General features: G+C 38.0%; 1 protein-coding gene across 1 annotated transcript in view; it reads left to right on the forward strand.

Annotated features, from left to right (window-relative positions):
* C7 (complement C7) overlaps positions 1–20,312 on the forward strand; it is a 75,147-nt gene that overhangs the window by 12,761 nt on the left and 42,074 nt on the right. The window contains exons 2-6 of the mRNA NM_000587.4: positions 6,323–6,378; positions 8,807–8,882; positions 12,068–12,209; positions 14,081–14,228; positions 15,295–15,433. Coding sequence (NP_000578.2) covers positions 6,323–6,378; positions 8,807–8,882; positions 12,068–12,209; positions 14,081–14,228; positions 15,295–15,433 — 561 coding nt within the window. The remainder of the gene's footprint in view (positions 1–6,322; positions 6,379–8,806; positions 8,883–12,067; positions 12,210–14,080; positions 14,229–15,294; positions 15,434–20,312) is intronic.

Below are 20,312 nucleotides of genomic sequence, written 5' to 3' on the forward strand. Positions count from 1 at the left end.
CCATCTACTTGGGAGGCTGAGGCAGAAGAAATGCTTGAACCCAGGAGGTGGAGGTTGCAGTGAGCAGAGATTGTGTCACTGCACTCCATCCTGGGCAACAGAGTGAGACTCTGTCTCAAAAAAAAAAAAAAAAAAAAAAAAAAAGAAGAACATACACTCGGGGCTTGGGCGCAGTGGCTCAGAGCTGTAATCCCAGCACTTTGGGAGGCTGAGGTGGGCGGATCATGAAGTTAGGAGTTTGAGACCAGCCTGACCAACATGGTGAAACCCCGTCTCTACTAAAAATACAGAAATTTTGCTGGGTGTGGTGGCACGTGCCTGTAATTTCAACTACTAAGGAGGCTGAGGCAGGAGAATTGCTTGAACCCAGGAGGAGGAGGTTGCAGTGAGCCAAGATCGCACTACTGCACTCCAGCCTGGGTGACAGAGTGAGACTGTCAAAAAAAAAAAAAGAAGAACATACATTGGGGAAAGGACAATCTCTGTAAGAAATGGTTTTGGGAAAACTGGGCATCCATATTTATAAGAATAAAACTAGATTCCTATCTTCTGCCATATACAAAAATAACTCAAAATGAATTAGACTTAAATGTAAAATGTGAAATTATGAAACAACTAGAAGAAAACATAGGGAAACAGCATAGATCAATGGTCTAGGCAACGTTTTTTGGGGTAAGATCTCAAAAACACAGAAAACAAAAGTAAAAATGGGCAAATGGGATTATATCAAGCTAAAAAGCTTCTACAAAGCAAACAATCAAAAGAGTAAAGAGGAACAACCTATGGAATTAGAGAAAATATTTGCAAGCTGTTCATCTGACAAGGGATTAAGAATCAAAATGTAAAGGGAAGTAACTCAGTAGCATATGTTAATAATAATATTAATCTGATTAACAATGGGCAAATGCTCTGAATAGACATTTTTCAAAAGAAGACATACAAATGGCTAACAGGTATATGAAAAAATGCTCAATATCACTAATTGTATTAGGCCATTATTTGTGTTGCTATAAAGAAATACCTGAGACTGGGTAATTTATAAATAAAAGAGGTTTAATTGCCTTGTGGTTCTGCAGGCTGCATAAACATGGCATCAACATCAGCTCAGCTTCTGGTGACGCCTTCAGGGAGATTTTACTCATGGTAGAAGGTGAAGCAAGAGCAGACATGTCACATGGCAATAGTGAGAGCAAGAATGAGTGAGGGGTCCAGGTGTGGTGGCTCCCGCCTGTAATCCTGACACTTTGGGAGGCTGAGGCAGGCAGATCACCTGAGGTCAGGAGTTAAAGACCAGCCTGGCCAACATGGTGAAACCCTGTCTCTACTAAAAATACAAAATTTAGCCAGGCATGGTAGCAGGTGCCTGTAATCATAGCTACTCAGGAGGCTGAGGCAGGAGAATCACTTGAACCCAGGGGGTGGAGGTTGCAGTGAGCCGAGATTGTGCCATTGCACTCCAGCCTGAGCGACAGAGCAAGACTCTGTCTTAAAAAAAAAAAAAAGTATGCGAGAGGGGGAAAATGTCATGCACTTTAAAACAATCAGATCTTAATGAGACTCACTATTGCAAGGATGACACTGAGGGGATGGTGCTAAACAATTTATGAGAAATCCACCCCTTCCAACAGGCCCCCACCTCCAACATGGGGATTACATTTCAACATGAGATTTGAAAGGGACATCTAAACTATACCATTCCACCCCTGGCCCCCTGAATCTCATGGTCTTCTCACACTATAAAAGACAATGATACCTGCCCAATAGTCACCCAAAGTCTTAACTCATTCCAGCATTAACTGAAAAGTCTCAAGTCTCAAGGACAAGGTCCAATCTGGAGATAAGTTTCTTCTACCTATGAGTTTGTAAAATCGAAACAAATTACTTACTTCCAAGATAGAATTGGGGTACAGGCATTGGGTAAACTCTCCTTTCCCAAAGAAGAGAAATCAGCTACTAGAAGGAGGCTACAGGCCCCATGGAAGTCTGAAACACAACATGGCAGTCATTAAATCCTAAAGCTTCAAAATAATCTCCCTTGGCTCCAGGTTCCACATCCAGGACATACTGCTGTGAGGGGTGAGCTCCACTCCACCTCTTGGGCAACTTTACTTCTTTGGCTTTGCAGGGTTCAGCCACCACAGTTGCTCTCATGGGTTGGAGTTGAGTGCCTAAAGCTTTTCCAAGCTCAATATGCAAGCTACTGGTGGATCTGCCATTCTGGGGTCTGGAGGACAGTGATCCCCTTTCCACTAATTCACTAGGCAGTACTCCAGTGGGGACTGTGTGGGGGGGTTCCAACCCTGCATTTCCCCCTTTACAGCCCTTGTAGAGGTTCCCTGTGAGGGCTCCACCCCTACAGCCAGCTTCTGCCTGGGCAACCAGGCTTTCTCATACATCTGAAATCTAGCTGGAAGCTGCCAAGCCTCCTTCACTCTTGCACTATGTGTGCCTATGAGCCTAATACCACATGGAAGCTGCCAAGGCTTACAGTTTGCACCTGCTGAAGCAGCAGCCCAAGCTGTATCTGGGGCTCACTGAGCCAAGGCTGGAGCTGGAGAGTGGCCTGCATGCAGGGATCAGTGTCTTAAGGCTGTGCAGGGCAGCAAGACCCTGGGCCTGGCCCATGAAACCATTCTTTCCTCCCAAACCTCCTGACCTGTGATGGGAGGGGCTGCCTCAAAGATCTCTAAAGTGCCTTCGGGGCCTCTTCTCCATTGTCTTGGCTATTAACACTTGGCTTCCTTTTAGTCATGCAAATCTCTGTAGCAAGTGCTTGCTCCACAGCCCTCCTTGAATTCCTCTCCTGATGATCCTTTTTCTTTCTCTGCTGCGTGGCCAGGCTGCAGATTTTTCAAACTTTTGTACTCTGCTTCCCTTTCATGTATAAATTCCAACTTTAAGTCATTTCTTTGCTCTTAAATCTGAGTGTAGGCTGTTAGAAGCAGCCAGACCACATCTTGAAATTTGCTGCTTAGAAGTTTGTTCTACTAGATACCCTAAGTTATCACTCTTAAGTTCAAACTTCTACAGATCCCTAGGGCATAAACAGAGTGCAGCCAAGTTCTTTGCTAAGACAAAACCAGGTGACTTTTGCTCTAATTCCCAATAAGTTTCTCATTTCCATCTGAGACTTCATCAGCCTGGACTTCACTGTGCCTATCACTATCAGCATTTTGGTCACAATCATTTAACCAGTCTGTAAGAAATTTCAAGTTTTCTTTCATTTTTCTATCTTCTTTGGAGCCCTCCAAACTTTTCAAACCTCTGCTCATTACCCAGTTCCAAAGCTGCTTTCACACTGTTAGGTATCTTTATAGCAATGCCCCAATTCTCAGTACCAATTTTCTGTGTTAGCCTGTTCTTTGTGTTGCTATAGAGAAATATCTGAGGCTGGGTAATTTATAAAGAAAAGAGGTTTAATTGGGTCTTGGTTCTGTAGGCTGTACAAGCATGGCATCAACATTTGCTCAGTTTCTGGTGAAACCTGCAGGGAGATTTTACTCATGGCGGAAGGCAAACTGGGAACAGGCAGGTCACATGGCAACAGTGGGTGCAAGAGATAACCCAAACATTTAAAGTAGAGCTAATACTAATCATTTTCAAACCCTTCCAAAAAATTGAAAAGGAGGGAATACTTTCAAATTCTTTTTACAAGGCCAGTGTTATCCTGATATCAAAGCCAAAGAAGCACATTACAAAAAAAGAAAACTACATGCCAACATTCTTGATGAACATGGTGAACATAGATACAAAAATCTCAACAAAATAGTTGCAAACTGAACAACCCATTAAAAGTATCATCTACCACGATCAAATGGGATTTATTCCTGAAATGCAAGGATGGTTCAACACAAATCAATAAATATGTTGTATGAGATTAACAGAATGAATGACAAAAACTATATGATCATCTTGTTAGATGCAGAAAAACATTTGACAAAGTTCAACAACATTTCAAGATAAAGACTCTCACCAAGTTAGGTACAGAAGAAAAGTAACTTGACACAATAAATGCCACATATGAGAAGCCCACAGCTAACATTACACCCACCAGTGAAAAATTGAAAGCCTTTTATTTAAGCTCTGGATCAAGACAAAAATGCCCACTTTTGCCACTTTTGCCACTTTTATTCAACATAGTATTGGAAATTCTTGCCAGAGCAATTAGGCAAGAAAAAGAAATGAAAGGCATTAAAATAGAAAGGGAAGAAGTGAAAATGCCTGTGTTTGCTGGTGACACAATCTTATATGTAGAAAACCCTACAGACTCCACCAGAAAACTGTTAGAACTAATAAATGAATACTGTAAAATTGTAGAATATAAAATAAACACTAAAAAGTACATTTCCATAAACTAACAATGAACTATGTGAGAAAGACATTAAGAAAACAATCACATTTTCAATAACTACAAAAATATTTAGGAATAAATTTAACCAAGAAAGTTAAAGACCTGTACATTGCAAATTATGAAACATTGATGAGAAATTGAAGAAGACATAAACAAATGGAAAGGTATCCCTTGTTCATGGATTAGAAGAAAATATTGCTAAAAAGTCCATACTACCACAGTGATCTAGAGTTTTAATGCAATCTTTATCAAAATTCTAACATCATTTTTCAAAGAAATAGAAAAAAATCTTAAAGTTCATATGGAATCACAAAAAAACCCAAATGGCTAAGGCAATCATGGGCAAAAAGAACAAAGCTGGAGGTGTTACTCTGCCTGATTTTAAACTATACTACAAAGCTATAGTAATTAAAACATCATGATCCTGGCAAAACAATAGACCCATCAACCAGTGGAACAGAATAGAGAGCCCAGAAATGCACCCCACATATATGGTCGATTGGTTATTTTTGCAAGGTTGCCAAGAATACACAATGGGGAAAGGATAGTCTCTTTAATAAATGGTATTGGGAAAACTGGATATCCACATGCAAAAGAATTAAATAGGACCCTTATCTAGCATTGTATATAAAAATCTACTCAGAATGGGATGAAGCCTTAAGCATAAGACCAGAAACTGAAAAATTAATTGAAAAAAATCTAAGGGAAAAACTGTATTTTTCTAGGTGGGGATTTTTTGGATCTGACTCCAAAAGTGCAGGCAACAAATGCAAACATAGACAAATGGGATTACAACAAACTGAAAAGTTTCTGCATGGCAAAGGAGACAATGATCAGTTTTCAGAGATGTACAGATTGGGAGAAAATATTTATAAGTCATACATTCAAGAAGAAGCTAATATCAAAAATATATATGGAGCTCAAACAACTCAATAGCAAGAAGACAAAAAACCCAATAAAAAATTGGCAAAATACCAGGAAAGGGAGTTGGAAGTAAAGTAAAAATAAAAAATGGGCAAGAGACCTGAGTAAACATTTCTGAAGAGAAGACATGCAAATGGCCAATAGATACGTAAAAAAAGTGCTCAACATTGCTAATCATTAGAGAAATGCAAATTAAAATCACATTGAGTTATCATCTCACACCTGTCAGAATGGCTATTATCAAAAAGACAAAAGGTAACAAGCATTGGTATGGATGTGGAAAAAAGGGAATCCCTGTACACTTGTACACTTGGTAGGAATGTAAATTAGTACAGCTCTTATAGAAAACTGCATGGAGGTTTGTCATAAAACTTAAAAAAATTATCATATGATCTAGCAATCCTACTTTTGGGTATTTACAAAAGTAAATGTTCATTTTAGCACTATTCACAATAGCCAAGTTATAGAATCAACCTAAGTGTCCCTCAACAGATGAATGGATAAAGAAAATGTGGTGTGTGTACACAATGGAATAGTATTTAGCCTTAAAAAGGAGGAAATTCTGTCATTTATGACAACATAGATGGAATTGGAAAACATTATGTTAAGTTAAATAAACCAGGCACAGGAAGACAAATAGCACGTGTTCTCACTTATATGATGTAAAACAATCGAACTTGTAGAAGCAAAGTAGAATGGTGGTTACAGAGACTGGGGTAATAGGGAAATAAAGGTCAAAGGGTACACAATCTCAGTTAGCAGAAATATATTTTGAATTCTATTGTACAGCGTGGTGAATATAGTTAAATTGGGGTATCATACATTTCAAAATTGCCAAAAGTAAATTTCAAATTTCTTTGCCACAAAAAATGTTAAATATTTTAGGTGATAGATATGTTAACTGGCTTGATGAAATTATTTCACATTGTATTGAGAAATAATAACATCACTTTGTACCCCATAAATTTATACAATTATAAATTGTCAATTTATAGTTATAAAAAGAAATGCAAGCTAAAATAATACTTTATTGTTTTTCTTCTCCAGGTGATAAGCTTATTCATTTTGGTGGGATTTATAGGAGAGTTCCAAAGTTTTTCAAGGTGAGGACTTTTTGGGTTGTGTGTAAAAATCATTAAATTTAAAAAATGTTTTAGTAATTCTTTAGTCTAATTTTGACATTGCACTTTGAATCTGTGTATCCCTCCAACATATTTTCTCTTTCCATATTTTTATAAAAGACAATGATAACAAAAGCATGTGTTTTTAATTATTATTCTTTTACTTAAAGAAGAATAATTCTCTTGTAAAATTATTTTTAAAAATTGAAGACTAAAAGTATAAGTTTTTTGTCTCAGTGCCGTGGTTTTATCTGTAATGCAGATAATCACAGTGGACTTATATATCTTAGAGCAATATTTGATCTTTAAATGTAATCCTTGCAAAGCATCCTCTGGATTTTAAAGGTTGAGAGTTTTTTAAGAAAATAGTCTTACCAAGTTCTTGAGGCCTGGAAAAAAGCCAGCATCATTTATCCAAGGCTTTGTTATGCTCTCACTGTGTCAGATTGATGAGACAGAGCCAGGTCAGTTCATTTTATGGAACTATCAGAAAATGTGTCAGGGGCTGTGCTAGGTACTGGGGATACCACAAGGAGCAAGAAGGCACTGGGAGCATGCTGGGTGATTCGTATCTTGAGCCAGTTCATTGCAATATGAATGTGTTAAGGGCTCTGACAGAAGCCTGCTCAGGGTGATGTGAGAGCACAGCAGGAAGGTCAAGCAAACTTCCTCTCCTAAGTCTCCATGTTTGGGGAAGCCCTCTCCATTTCCCCAGGACAGAGGCTAGAAAAATAACAGTAAGTTCAGATTGTTCAAGGGTCAAAAGTATTTAGGTATTTTGATCATTGGTACCATACGAAAACCACAGGTTGGCAAGATTGGCCCTGTAAAAGCAGCCAAGGCACACACTATAGAATGAGAGTCATTACTTTCAGAGTAACCTGACCCTCTTAAGACATGCAAGAATCATCTTGACTCAAGATATTGCCCAGCCGAGGAATGTGCTGGGAATCCAGAAATCAGGAATACTAGTTCTTTTATTCTTCGTAGAGCATCATTTTAGGCAAGCCTTCCTTAGTCTCTTAAAGCTGACTCAGGTAGTCTTTTCCATATGACATGGCCAGAATGTGAGCATTTTATGAGAGTCAACTCTCCATTTTCACATGTACTTTATTTTAGTGGAGCTGTTTAAGCTCAGATTGTCCTCCTTGGTTGTGTGCTTGAAAAATGGCCTAAATGAACAGGGGATGCATTTAAATAAATTCCTGTCCATTCAGCCTCTGCCAATTTTTAGTTTTCCACTTCTCATGGGGACTTTTTATAGTTTCTTGTCTTTCAGTTAAGTGTTTCTGGATAACTTTTCAACTCATCATTCAGAATCCCTTCAAAGGCCATAAAACCTTGCTCCTTTCAAAGGCCATAAAACATATTTACATATGTTTTCACCTACCCTCTTAACTCAAACTCTCCCTTATCTATATTCCCATAACACATTATATTGAATGCATTTCTGTTCTGAAATCCATCAAATGAGATATATTGTACTATGATTATTTGTTTACACATCTGTGTCTCTGTCCTTCCTTCTATCAATAGTCAATGACCTACCTCTTTTTTTTTTTTTTTTTTTGAGATGGAGTCGCCCTCTGTCACCCAGGCTGGAGTGCAGTGGTGCAATCTCAGCTCACTGCAACCTCTGCCTCCCAGGTTCAAGCAATTCTCCTGTCTCAGCCTCCCAAGTAGCCGGGATTATAGGCATGCACCACCACGCCTGGCTAATTTTTGTATTTTTAGTAGAGACGGGGTTTCACCATGATGGCCCTGTTGGTCTCAAACTCCTGATCTCAAGTGATCTGCACTCCTCGGACTCCCAAAGTGCTGAGATTACAGGCATAAGCAACCATACCCGGCCAATGACCTACCTCTTTTATTATTTCTACAATTCTAGTGTCTTTAGAACCTGGTACATAATAGATTTTGTTTTTTTGTGATGGAGACTCCCTCTGTTGCCCAGGCTGGAGTGCAGTGGTGCAATCTCCAGTAACTGCAGCCTCCATCTCCTGGGTTCCAGTGATTCTCCTGCCTCAGCCTCCCGGGTAGCTGATATTACAGGCACGCGCCACCCTGCCTGGCTAATTTTTTTTGTATTTTTAGTAGAGACAGGGTTTCACCATGTAGGCCAGCCTGGTCTCGAACTCCTGACCTCAGGTGATCTGCCCGCCTCAGCCTCCCAAAGTGCTAGGATTACAGGTTTGAGCCACTGTGCCAGCATAATAGATGTTTATTAAGTGTTAGTCTCTAAGAAAGTGGGGCTCCCTCCATTTTTATATATTTTAGGATCCTTTTAGTGTCTCTTCGGAAAAAATATTTGAGGCAACATTTAACTATTTTTGACTGTTTTCACTATTCTTTGTGTTCCCTTGCGTATCTTTCCACCTGCTTTATGATGGACAATTTGACACTGTGGCAGTGCCTCCTCTCCAGTCAACTGCCAGTGGGACTTCTATGCCCCTTGGTCAGAATGCAATGGCTGTACCAAGACTCAGGTAGGACCATGCAAAACTTTGTATTTGATTATTTATTGCAGAAATACTTTGGCATGGCCAAAATGGTATTAACTTTTGAATGTTCATTAAATAGTGTCAATATTTTTTGAAAACTATGTTTGTAATTTTGAGGGGAGAAAAGTATGACTTGTTTAATAATTAATATGGTAATAAAGTAACTTGTAATATTGTAATAAAGTAACTTGTATATTCATTTTTCTAGATCTTATCTTGGAGCTAGAAATGTATATAGGCTAAAAGTTCAAGGCAATTTACTAACTCTTTAACTATGAGAGAAATAGGAATAACATAGAATGACATTTTTAGATAATGTAAAATGTTTTATGTTCACTGAGTTCAACTTTTCTTCTCATCTCAAACAAACACTAGCAAATAGCAAAATGGCTGCTTGATTTTACTTCACAAATAGCGAACAACCATGAAAAAAATTTTGCAAAATGTCTTAAAGTTTAATTGCTAAGTAACACAAATACAATGTTGGACTTAATGTGGATATTATAAAAAGCTTCTAAAAATGTTTGTATTCCTTATTATAAAATGTTCACTGGAGAGAATACAGAAAGTTATGAAGAAATAAGGCATTATTCACAATTCTGCCTTTTTCTTTTTTTGTTTTTGAGTCGGAGTCTCCCTCTGTCGCCAGGCTGGAGTGCAGTGGCACGATCTTGGCTCACTGTAATCTCCGCCTCCCGGGTTCAAGTGATTCTCCTGCCTCAGCCTCCCAAGTAGCTGGGACTACAGGCACGTGCCACTACACCCGGCTAATTTTTTGTATTTTTAGTAGAGATGAGGTTTAACCATCTTGGCCAGGATGGTCTCGATCTCTTGATCTCGTGATCCACCTGCCTCGGCCTTCCAAAGTGCTGGGATTACAGGTGTGAGCCACTGCACCTGGCCAATTCTACCATTTAGAAGAAACAAATTATATAACAGCATTTGGTATTTATTCCCTCAGCTCTGTCTACTTTTTCTCTGTGTGTGCTTATAATTAAAAAAATTGAGATTATTTTATCATAGTTTTGTATTCTATTTTAATCTAACATTATACTATCAGCAAAATAATTTATAACAGCAGTATTATGTTCCATGATATGAATATAGCCTTCTTATTTTTCCACTTTTTTATTGTTTGATATTTAAGTTGTTTCCATTTTTGTTATAAAGAAAACTTTAATAAACATTTTTGAATGTAGATATCTGTCCTCTTTTCCCATAATTTTCTGAGGATAGTCCTAGAAATAAAATGTTTATCTTAAAGTTTCTGAACATTTCAAGAGTTAAATATTCTAGAAATAGTCCAGTTTGGGTAAAATTATATTTAAAAATCACTTTTAATTATTAAAATAACAGAATCATACCATAGAAGATAATTATTATTTTGAAGCATCATCATTAAGATCAGGTATTTATTTAGTACCTACATGAGTAGTATTTTCAAAACAAATTACATGAATAAAGAATTTGGCTTCTAGCAAGTATAATAAATAACAGCTCTGATTACAGGCAACCAGGTACATGAATAACAAGCAAAGGTCAAAGAAACATCAAACACGTTAAATATTTTTATCATTTAAAGAGAAGAAAGAACACTAAATAGAAGCAGAGAGATAGAGGGTGTTTTTTATACAAGCAATTTTTTTCTTTGAGTGAAGGTCATTATGCAATGGATACATCCTAGATTATAAAAACAAAATTTTCATTCAGAAAGAGACAAGTGAAAATGAGAAAGGGGTTGTAGGGTCAGACTTTGACAGGTGAGAAGGAGACTGTGGAGAGTGGCTGCCATCAAGGGCTCCCTGGTAATATGGAGAAGAAAAACACTTTCTTATGCAAACAACACCATCTGGGCTCTGGAACTTCACAAAAGGACACTGTTAAGTCACACATGAGCGGTATCTTCATCACTTACAAAGGGACTAAAAATGGTATCAAGAAACCTTACCGAGTTCCATTCCCCACTCATATTCCTCTGTGGCTCCTTTGCTTAAACATGATGAAAGACACCAGAGCCATGCTCAGGCTGGTGCGTACCTGCTCAGAGTTCAAATTATGGCCACTGTGACCCCTCATGCCAAGGAATTCCCACTTCTAACCCAATTTAGGATGGATGAATAAGTTCGACATTGATATGTACAGCAACTCTTCCCTGTTGATCTTCACTCAAGGTTTAAATCCTCAGGACGCTCAGTTTTGGTTCCGTTTTGTTTGTTAATGGAGAAGAGGTGAGTAGAGGAAGAGGCCTGGAAGATGCTCACTGATTGCCAGGGGTAGATCTTTCTTTTTGTTTGAATGTTAGATACATGTCTTCATAGTGAATGAGGATTAAATAAACTTTAGTATGAATTAGTTGTAAGTTTCTCATTTAGTTTGATAATTTCTTCAGTTTTCCTATATTCTTTTCCCTCAAGAGGTTTGTATTTTACGTATTCCTTTGTAGATGTAGCTTCACCTTTGGATTACTTAGGCTTCTGTTTTGTAAATTTGACTTCCATATTCATGTATTTCTCTCTGAATTGTTTTTGCTTGCCTTTCTTCCTGAAGAAGGCTTACAGTTTAGCTGAAAGGAATCACCATCACTCTTCTGAAGGTTTCCTTAACTCTGCTTCATCTTAACCCCTTTCCCAGTACCTTATCCTCTCTCCAGAAAAAGTCATTTCACTTTCTCTAATGAGCTCTTGGAACACAGATTTGGTAAATATATTAATCATTCTATGCTCTAATGTATTTGCTTATGTGTCTACCCTCTAAGCTTTACTCAGGTTACTTTCTTTTTTCTTTTCTTTTTTTTTTTTTGAGACGGTGTCTCACTTTATTGCCCAGGCTGGAGTGCAGTGGCATGATCTCAGCTCACTGCAATCAGGTTACTTTCTTAAAGATTCACTAACATCATTTTTTTTTTTTTGCATTTAATCCTGAAAGTCAATATATGCCTGGGAGCTCTCTATAAATAATAGCCAACATGTTGCTTAACTCAAGGACAAATAGGTCTGTGAATTCATTGATTTTGAGGTTTTATTTCTGTAGAACACCAGAACAATTTTCCAGACGTTGTTTTTCTAATTGTATTACTTTTTCTCAGATTTTATTACTCAGATAAAGGAAACTAGAGATTTCTTTGAAAACAAACAAATAAACAAACAAACCACTGCCTGCTTTGTGTTTAGACTCGCAGGCGGTCAGTTGCTGTGTATGGGCAGTATGGAGGCCAGCCTTGTGTTGGAAATGCTTTTGAAACACAGTCCTGTGAACCTACAAGAGGATGTCCAACAGAGGAGGGATGTGGAGAGCGTTTCAGGTGCTTTTCAGGTAACTTGTTTTCCATAGGCTCAGCATGCAGATTGTAAATTCAAACGTTATTTGGTGAACTTGCTCGTTATATATTTGTTAAATTTTACTGAATTTATATTGGCCTAAAGTTAATTCCCCCAAATATCATCAGGATTTTTGTTGGTATGTTAATCATCCACTCAGCTATCATTTTTTCAAATGCAAGGGGATGCATCTGGTAATAAACATAGGAATGCTCTTTGTCTCTTTGAATGGAACTCTAGTTACTGACAGACCCAAAAAGTTCTTGACAGTGTATTTTGAGTAAAGATGCAGAGTGAGTCTTGTACATATATTGAGATTAGACGAAAACAATGTTACTGCCTAAATTATTATATCTACAAGAAAAGCAACCCTAATGAACTGATTAAGGAGCAATACAGTTCTCTCCTATGCATGGGGTGATTGAAACACCAGTTTTGGCATAGAATATTATTTGACCAATACTCTATGTTGCATTTATGCAGTCAGATTAATGTAACAACATTTAGTAAACATTTATGATTCTTGTTTCAAATAGTGGTGAGAGTTGTATATACAAGTGAAACACATGCCTCTTCCCTCACAAATATTAAAGTTTTATGGGCAGAATAGTACATAAATAATCCCTGTGTTAGAAGTGCTCCTCAGTGATACCTGTTGAACGCTTATTTTACTTTCAAAATCCAAATTAGATAACCACTCCTTCAGGAAGCCTGCCCTAAATCCCCAACTGATAGAAGTAATTAAGCAATCACTTCCATATTTTCCTTATGCATATTGTACCATCTGTCATTTGGATGATTCGTTGGCCTGAATGTCTCTCTTGGTGAACTGTGAACTCCTTGAAGACATGAATTATATTTCTTACATGTTGACTTCTGGAGTCCCTGGTACATAATAAGTTCTCAACAAATGTTTGCTGCATTGGATTGAGTGGCAGTATAGCAGGGTACATGTCCTATAAGGACAGCTGTGCACCAAACATCCTATGAGGACATAGAGGAAGAACATGCATCAGAGCCTGTGAGGCAGCGATGGTTTTCAAGAGGAGATAATGTTTAATTTGATTCTTGAAGGACAAGTAAGAGATAGGTAGAGAAAACCCATCTAGGCAGAGAGAACTAACCAAGCGCAAGATCATTGGAGATGACAGAAAGCTTGGCCTTTTATTCATGCAGGTAGTCTGGTATGACTAGGGTATAAGAAGCTAGTAGGAGAATGGCTGGGGATGATGCTGGGGAGATAGGCAGGAACTAGATCATCTGGTACTCTCCAGTGCTTCCTTGGTACTCTAGATTTATGGCTATCATAACAATTATGATCTATGTCTTTGTAGTATTTCCTATTAGATTGTAAAGTATATGAAAAGCTGGCAAAGGCCATTTTTATTCATATTCGTATCCTAGCCCCTATTGTGCTACGGAAATGTTGAATTTTAACCTTTTGATAAAATTGTCCGGCTCTTAAAGCTTACAAATTTAAATTACCAAAAAAAGCTCAACTTTGTCATCTTAGAATGACAGAAAAAAAGTGAAAGTTGAAGGGCAGGAAGTCAGTCTATTTTCTCAGTAGTCGGAATTATATAATTTAGACAAGCTGCTTGATGATTATGGGTGAGATCCTGAAATTCTGAATTCAGATCCTATTTTCAATTTTGTGTCTGATTGAGTTAAGAACCATTTCCATGTGCCATAAAATGGAGACAAAATACTCACTAGTCCTTTCCGAGACACTCTGAGGATTTATCTCCCATTTACATTGGCGTATCAGTGCAGTGTTACAGGTAGCAGGAAAACCCTTTTTGGTCCTGGGTAGTGTTTCTCCTCTTCCCTCTTTTACATTTGCACGTGGATTTCTCTGGTGTTCAGGTCAGTGCATCAGCAAATCATTGGTTTGCAATGGGGATTCTGACTGTGATGAAGACAGTGCTGATGAAGACAGATGTGAGGACTCAGAAAGGAGACCTTCCTGTGATATCGATAAACCTCCTCCTAACATAGAACTTACTGGAAATGGGTAAGGTGCTGGGCAGCCTCCTGAGTACATCAGTGAATTGTAGTTTTAAATTTTGTTTTATTTTATAGTTTGGTAAGTCTACGAACAAGTCTTCTAATAGGCAAGATTATTCATTGGCTCAGAGCTCTTTGCCACATCCTGAGACAGTATTTTTGTTCACACATGTATACCTGTAGATACATGTGGTAGATGCAGAGTGACCCCTTGTCCTGGGATGGTCCTAGTTTTAGCGCTGAAATTCTAATTCCAAGAAACCCCTCAGGCCCAGGGAAACCTGGACAGTTGGTCACTTCATGGGGGTTGGAAGGGAGGGAGAGAGAGAGAAAAAATACTAATTCAATAATGTGGGGCTATTCAAGAGAATGAAGAGACAATAGAATGAGAACAGGATGAGAAGAGAGACAGAAGCAAGTGTGTTGTAATATCCAGGCTGAACAGCAATTGTCTAAACTAGCCAAGAACCTGTTTCCAAGTGAAGGTTGGAAAATACTGTGTTTACGTTATCAAAGAGAATTCTGAAGAATTTTTAAGGGTCATATGACTTGTTAAGGTTTCAAGACCTAAAAATAACCTATTTTAGAGTGAAAGAAGTAATTTTTCTGAAATATTTTAAAATTTATTAACAGAGAAATAGGGTAAAATTATTTGAAAGAGTACACCATTCAGTATGCTAAGAGGCAATTAGTTAAAATTTATTATAGAGAGCTCTCTCTCCTCAAGAGTAACCTTAATTGTATTGGTTTTATCTACAGATTCAATTCAAAACCAGCTGTTGCCATAGATACGAAAGAGCCATGTGTTTCCCAAATATGTTCTTAGATGGAAAGAATGTTGGATTTTCTGAGCCATTAGTTTTAGTGATTATACCAAGCAGGGGAAGCTGGATAATGTATGGTGTGTATTAGGATGCTGTGCTCTTCATTTGAACTCTCTCAAAGAAGTGTTTAAGTGTAATGCATTTTAAGAATTTGTAGAGTTCTGTAATAAACTTTTTTCCCCACCAAGTGCTATTTCTGGTTTTTAACGGCTTTTTATTTCCTCCTTCTCCTCCTCCTCCTTTTAACAGTTACAATGAACTCACTGGCCAGTTTAGGAACAGAGTCATCAATACCAAAAGTTTTGGTGGTCAATGTAGAAAGGTGTTTAGTGGGGATGGAAAAGATTTCTACAGGCTGAGTGGAAATGTCCTGTCCTATACATTCCAGGTACTTACGACGTTATTGATTTCCAATCTGGAATTGTCAGAGAGCATTATTTATATGATATTGACTTTTACGTATTTGTTGAGAATTTACTTATGGCCTAATGTGTGGTCAATTTTTATAAATGTTTTATGTTGACTTAAAAAGTATACACAGTGTTTTTGCTTTGGGGTACAGGGCAATGATACTTTTAACATGTGTCATTCAAGCTGACATATCCTTATACCTCATTTGTAACTTCATGTTCTATATAGGCCCAAGACCTTATTGTCTGTGCTGGTGTAGGCATTAAACTGAAGACCCTGTCCATGACTGGTAATGATAGTCTCCTGACACTGCTACAGTGTCAGCTCACTTAAAATGCTTTTATTTTAAAATTGTGAACTATTTCATATATACAAAAGGGTGTGGATAACATATATGTGTAATTTGAAGAAAACTGCCCTTATATGCCCACCATCTGCCTTAAGAAATAGAATATTGCCAGTGACTTAAAGGCTCCTCTATGCCCCTCTCTGATCACATCCCTCTCACTCCTCAGGCAACTACTATTTTATATTTTGTATTAATTATCCTTGTTTTTTCTATAAATGCTTATTCTTTATATGTTTTTGTCCCTAAATATAAATTTGTGATTTAGTTTTGCCTATTTTTTCCATTTGTATAAATAGAATCATATCTATTCTTCTGTTACTTTTTTCACTAAAAGTTATGGATTTGAGATTTACTCATGCTGTTGCAGGTGGCATTTTTATTGCTGTTTCCAATTTTTTCTTATGAAAATGCCTTGAACATTCTTGTGCCTGAGTCCCATACAAATGAACTAGAGCTTCTCCAGGGCATACACCTGGAACTCAAATTGCTACCTCATAGGATATGTATGTACTAAATTTTACTAGGTAAAGTATCCAAAATGGCTGGATCATTTCATACCCCAGCAGTGGGGATGAGTGGCCTCCACTTCACATGCTTGCCAACGTTGGTATTGCTTAACTTTTTAATTTTGCTTATGATCTCAGATCTCCTCTGTCTCCAGGCTTCTGTTTCTCAAAAGCTATTTCTGTCATACACACCTAAACTCACCCGTGAGTAGGTTTTGATCAACACAATACGTACTCATGCAAAACAGTTATGGCTTTAGGAAACTTTACGGAAGATTTAGAAGGAAGATAGAGGAGAGATTTTCTGTTGCAGTAATGCAAACATGTTGAAGCAATAGCGGTTGGCATCTTCTATCTTAAAACACTTCCACAGCCTCAACACAACGAAATTTCTGGTCTCATCGGGTGTTAGCTTCTTTCTTGCTCTCGTCTTTCAAGATCCCCTCTCTCACTCCTTTTCCTCCCTTTGTCCCCAAACTCCAAAAATGTCTAATTCAGCTTTTAATATTGATTACTTCTAAATTTGTAAACCCAAACTACTGAAATGTTCAGACAAAAGGGCCTTTTGCTTACCCAAATTAACCTTCTCCAGAAAGCAGCTTTGATTATAAATAGCAAACATACCGTCTTCCAATTTACCATAGAATAAGTTAGTTGCATTTAAGAGTTGTTGAGTAATATAAATGAGAAGTAAAACAGATCTGAAAAATAATTGTAGCTACCAGTTTTTGAATACCTACTGTGGCATCTACACTATTTTAGGTGATTAGCATAGGTTTAATTCTCACAGCAGCTTTGGAAAGTAAGCAATATTTTACTATTTTATATATGTAGAAACTGAGGCTTAAGAGGACTTCAGCTGACATACTCAAAGTCACCAAATTAAAAAGTAGTAGAGCTTAGATCTGGTCTGTCAGATTTCACAGCCTTTTATTTTTCCATTACATTTTACTCTCCCCATGTGTTTCACTTATTTTTCAATTCTAAATTCAACGTGGTGAATAACATGTATTACAATTTAACCTTTGGCCAGAAAGGAGAATGTAAGACAGGCATATACAGATAATTTTTTTTCTCCCTCTATACCTTAGAGAATATGTTCCTAATTCTTTCATAATTATAATGTGGAGACTTGCATGTATATTTTTGAAAGGGTCAAATTTAGAAAGTTACAGAGCAGAGAAAATAATAAGAAAGAGCGTTTCTGACTTCGTTGGAAGGTAGACAGGCAGGAAGTCTGCATTTCTGAAGAAGAGGGATAATTTATTAACAACGTGATCCTGACATTCATTTTCCTCAGCAGGGCTTGGTCTTTAGATTGACAACTGAAATGCCTTCCCCATCACTGAATGTGAAGGTGTTTGTCAGAGTAGAGGGAAATTATAGCCTGCTATAGAATGAGGAACAGAGATGTTTTGAGGAGCAGTCTGAGGGAAGTGAAGTGGAAGCCACAGGCAGTGAGTCAGCCATGCAAATGCTAAACTCAGGTGTGGACGCGGAGGTGGTGAATGTCCTCCATGGTTCAAATAAATTCATCTCGGGCCCACTGGGTATTCAGCTCTCTTTGAGGTGGAAAGTGACTTTTGGCTTATTGGAACATAAATATTAGTAGTAAATATAAAACAGAATCGGCCAGTCTCTCTTATAATCCCTGTTTCGGTTTTTAGCATCGCGGTTTATCCAGGGCAAACCCAATTTCTTGTCGAGTAAGCTACTTAACTTTGATGCTGTGCACATTCTCTGTCTACTTATACATTTTATACAACAAGGAAGGCATTTATGGCTTGGGAAGGTGCCCCTCTGCCTTGTTCAGCCTGAGAGATAGCAGAGGACTATTGTGTTTATTCTCAGTGTGTGATGAATTGCAGAAGGGAATGAATTATGATCAAGGTGGAAAAACTTCATGGCTTCTTCTGTGTTTGGTCTTGAATATACTTCATTATATATTTTGAAGAGAAATCCTAAATGCATATCAAATTAAAAACAAAAACAAATTCTAAAGGCAATTTTAATGAATGCTGCATTATCTAAGCCTTTGCTTCCTCTGTTGGTATGAGGACTAGATACCTGAGATTTCTAAATCTACCTTGTTAAAGGAATAATTTAAATGATGGTTAAAAATATCTCACATATAAGAACGCTTTGTATACTAAGCACTGTTCCAAGAGCTTTACATGGACCTATTTTCCTTATAATAACCTAAGGAGGTAGGTACTGGCATCTCATTTTACAAATGATAAAACAGAGGCAAAAAAGCTAAATAGCTTATCCACAGCATAGAAGATGACAAAGGTGGGATTTGAACTTTAGAAGTCTGGCTCCAAACCCCCTCAGAGCAGACACTATACTTACAAGCATTTTATATAGTATATATATGTATGTATATGCAGTGAATATCTCTATATCTATATGTATATCGTGTCTCATTCTATATGTGGGTGGGAGTGGGAGAGAGAGAGAAAATGAAAAAACAAGAGTGCAAGAGGAACACTTCTTTTTTTTTTTTTTTGAGAGGGAGTCTCATTCACCCATTTGCCCAGGCTGGAGTGCAGTCGTGTGATCTCGGCTCACTGCAACCTCTGCCTCCTGTGTTCAAGCGATTCTCATGCCTCGGCCTACCGAGTAGCTGGGATTACAGGCGTGTACTACCATGCCTGGCTAATTTTTGTATTTTTAGTAGATACAGGGTTTCGCCATGTCGGTCAGGCTGGTCTCGAACTCCTGTCCTCAAGTGATCCACCCGCCTCGGCCTCCCAAAGTGCTGGGATTACAAGCGTGAGCCACTGACCCTGGCCCGAGGAGCACTTTTGAATAACTGAATGAAGTTCAAACTGGCTGGATTACACAGTGAAGTGTGAAGAGTTGTAAGAAATGAGGTTATGAGTGATCGGGAAAGTAAATAAAAAAGACTTTTTTCTGGTTAGTTAAGGAGATTGGATTAAAAAAAAGAGTCAGAGAGTTTAAGAAGGGTTGCTACTCTTATGAACAGTGGAGAATAGATTGGAGGGTGGCCAACTGGGGGAAAGAACCTTGGTTAGAAAACTGTTGTAATAATCCCTGAGAGACATAAGAGCGGCCTGAGAAAACTTGGTGAGCGGCTGAATGCGGGGTATGATGGAGAGTGAGCAGTCTGGGATATGAATGGGTTTCTGACTTGGACCAATGGCCAGATGAAAATACAACCCTCTGAGATGGGTAAAGACCCATTTGCAGGGAGAAGACAAATCCAGTTTAGGTATCTAAAGTATGTCCAAGTGCTCAGGAGAAAGTGTTTGAGCTGGAAATAGACATTTGGTGATTATTGGTATAAGAATGGTAATTGAAGCCACAGAGTGGAGAACACTGTTCCTCTTGGAATTAGCATAGAGGAGTAATAGAAGGAGATGCGTAAAGGAGTCTTAGAAGGAACAGCCAGAGAGAAAAAAAGAAAACTAGAAAGCCAACAGAAGAGAGTATTTCCAGTAGGAGAGAGTGGTCAACAGTGCCGAATGATGTTGAGAGAAGTGTTCACTGTCTGGTGAAATAAGAAAGGTGCCAGCAGCATTGCTGGAAGTCAGACCATTGTAAGCGGAAGAGTGAATGGGAGGTGAGGAATTTAAGATAATTAATTATAGTCAACTCATTTAAGGTGGTGAGATGGGAAAGTAGGAAAGAAGGAATATATAGTAACAGGTAAAGCATTTCTTATTTTAGTTGGTTGTATTAGAACATGTATGTTTTGATAGAAAGGAGCCAGTAGAGCAAGAAAAATGGAAGCTGTAGGAGAGGGAACAATCAATCCATCTAATCCACCCTTTGAAGAAGTCAGAGAGAATGCAATACAGAGAAGAGAGAGAAAATTTATCCTAAGACAAAGGGAGGGACACCTATAGAGAAAAAGAAGGAAAGAAAAGTTAATAAGTTTGTAGATTTGTTAGCCAGCAGTTTAAGAGGTCTCTGAAGATGGGAGTTTTTGTAAAGAAAGAGGTAAGATCATCTTCTGAGAGTGAAGGAAGTGTCTG

Source organism: Homo sapiens, chromosome 5, assembly GCF_000001405.40.
Source record: "Homo sapiens chromosome 5, GRCh38.p14 Primary Assembly".
Lineage (NCBI taxonomy): Eukaryota > Metazoa > Chordata > Mammalia > Primates > Hominidae > Homo > Homo sapiens.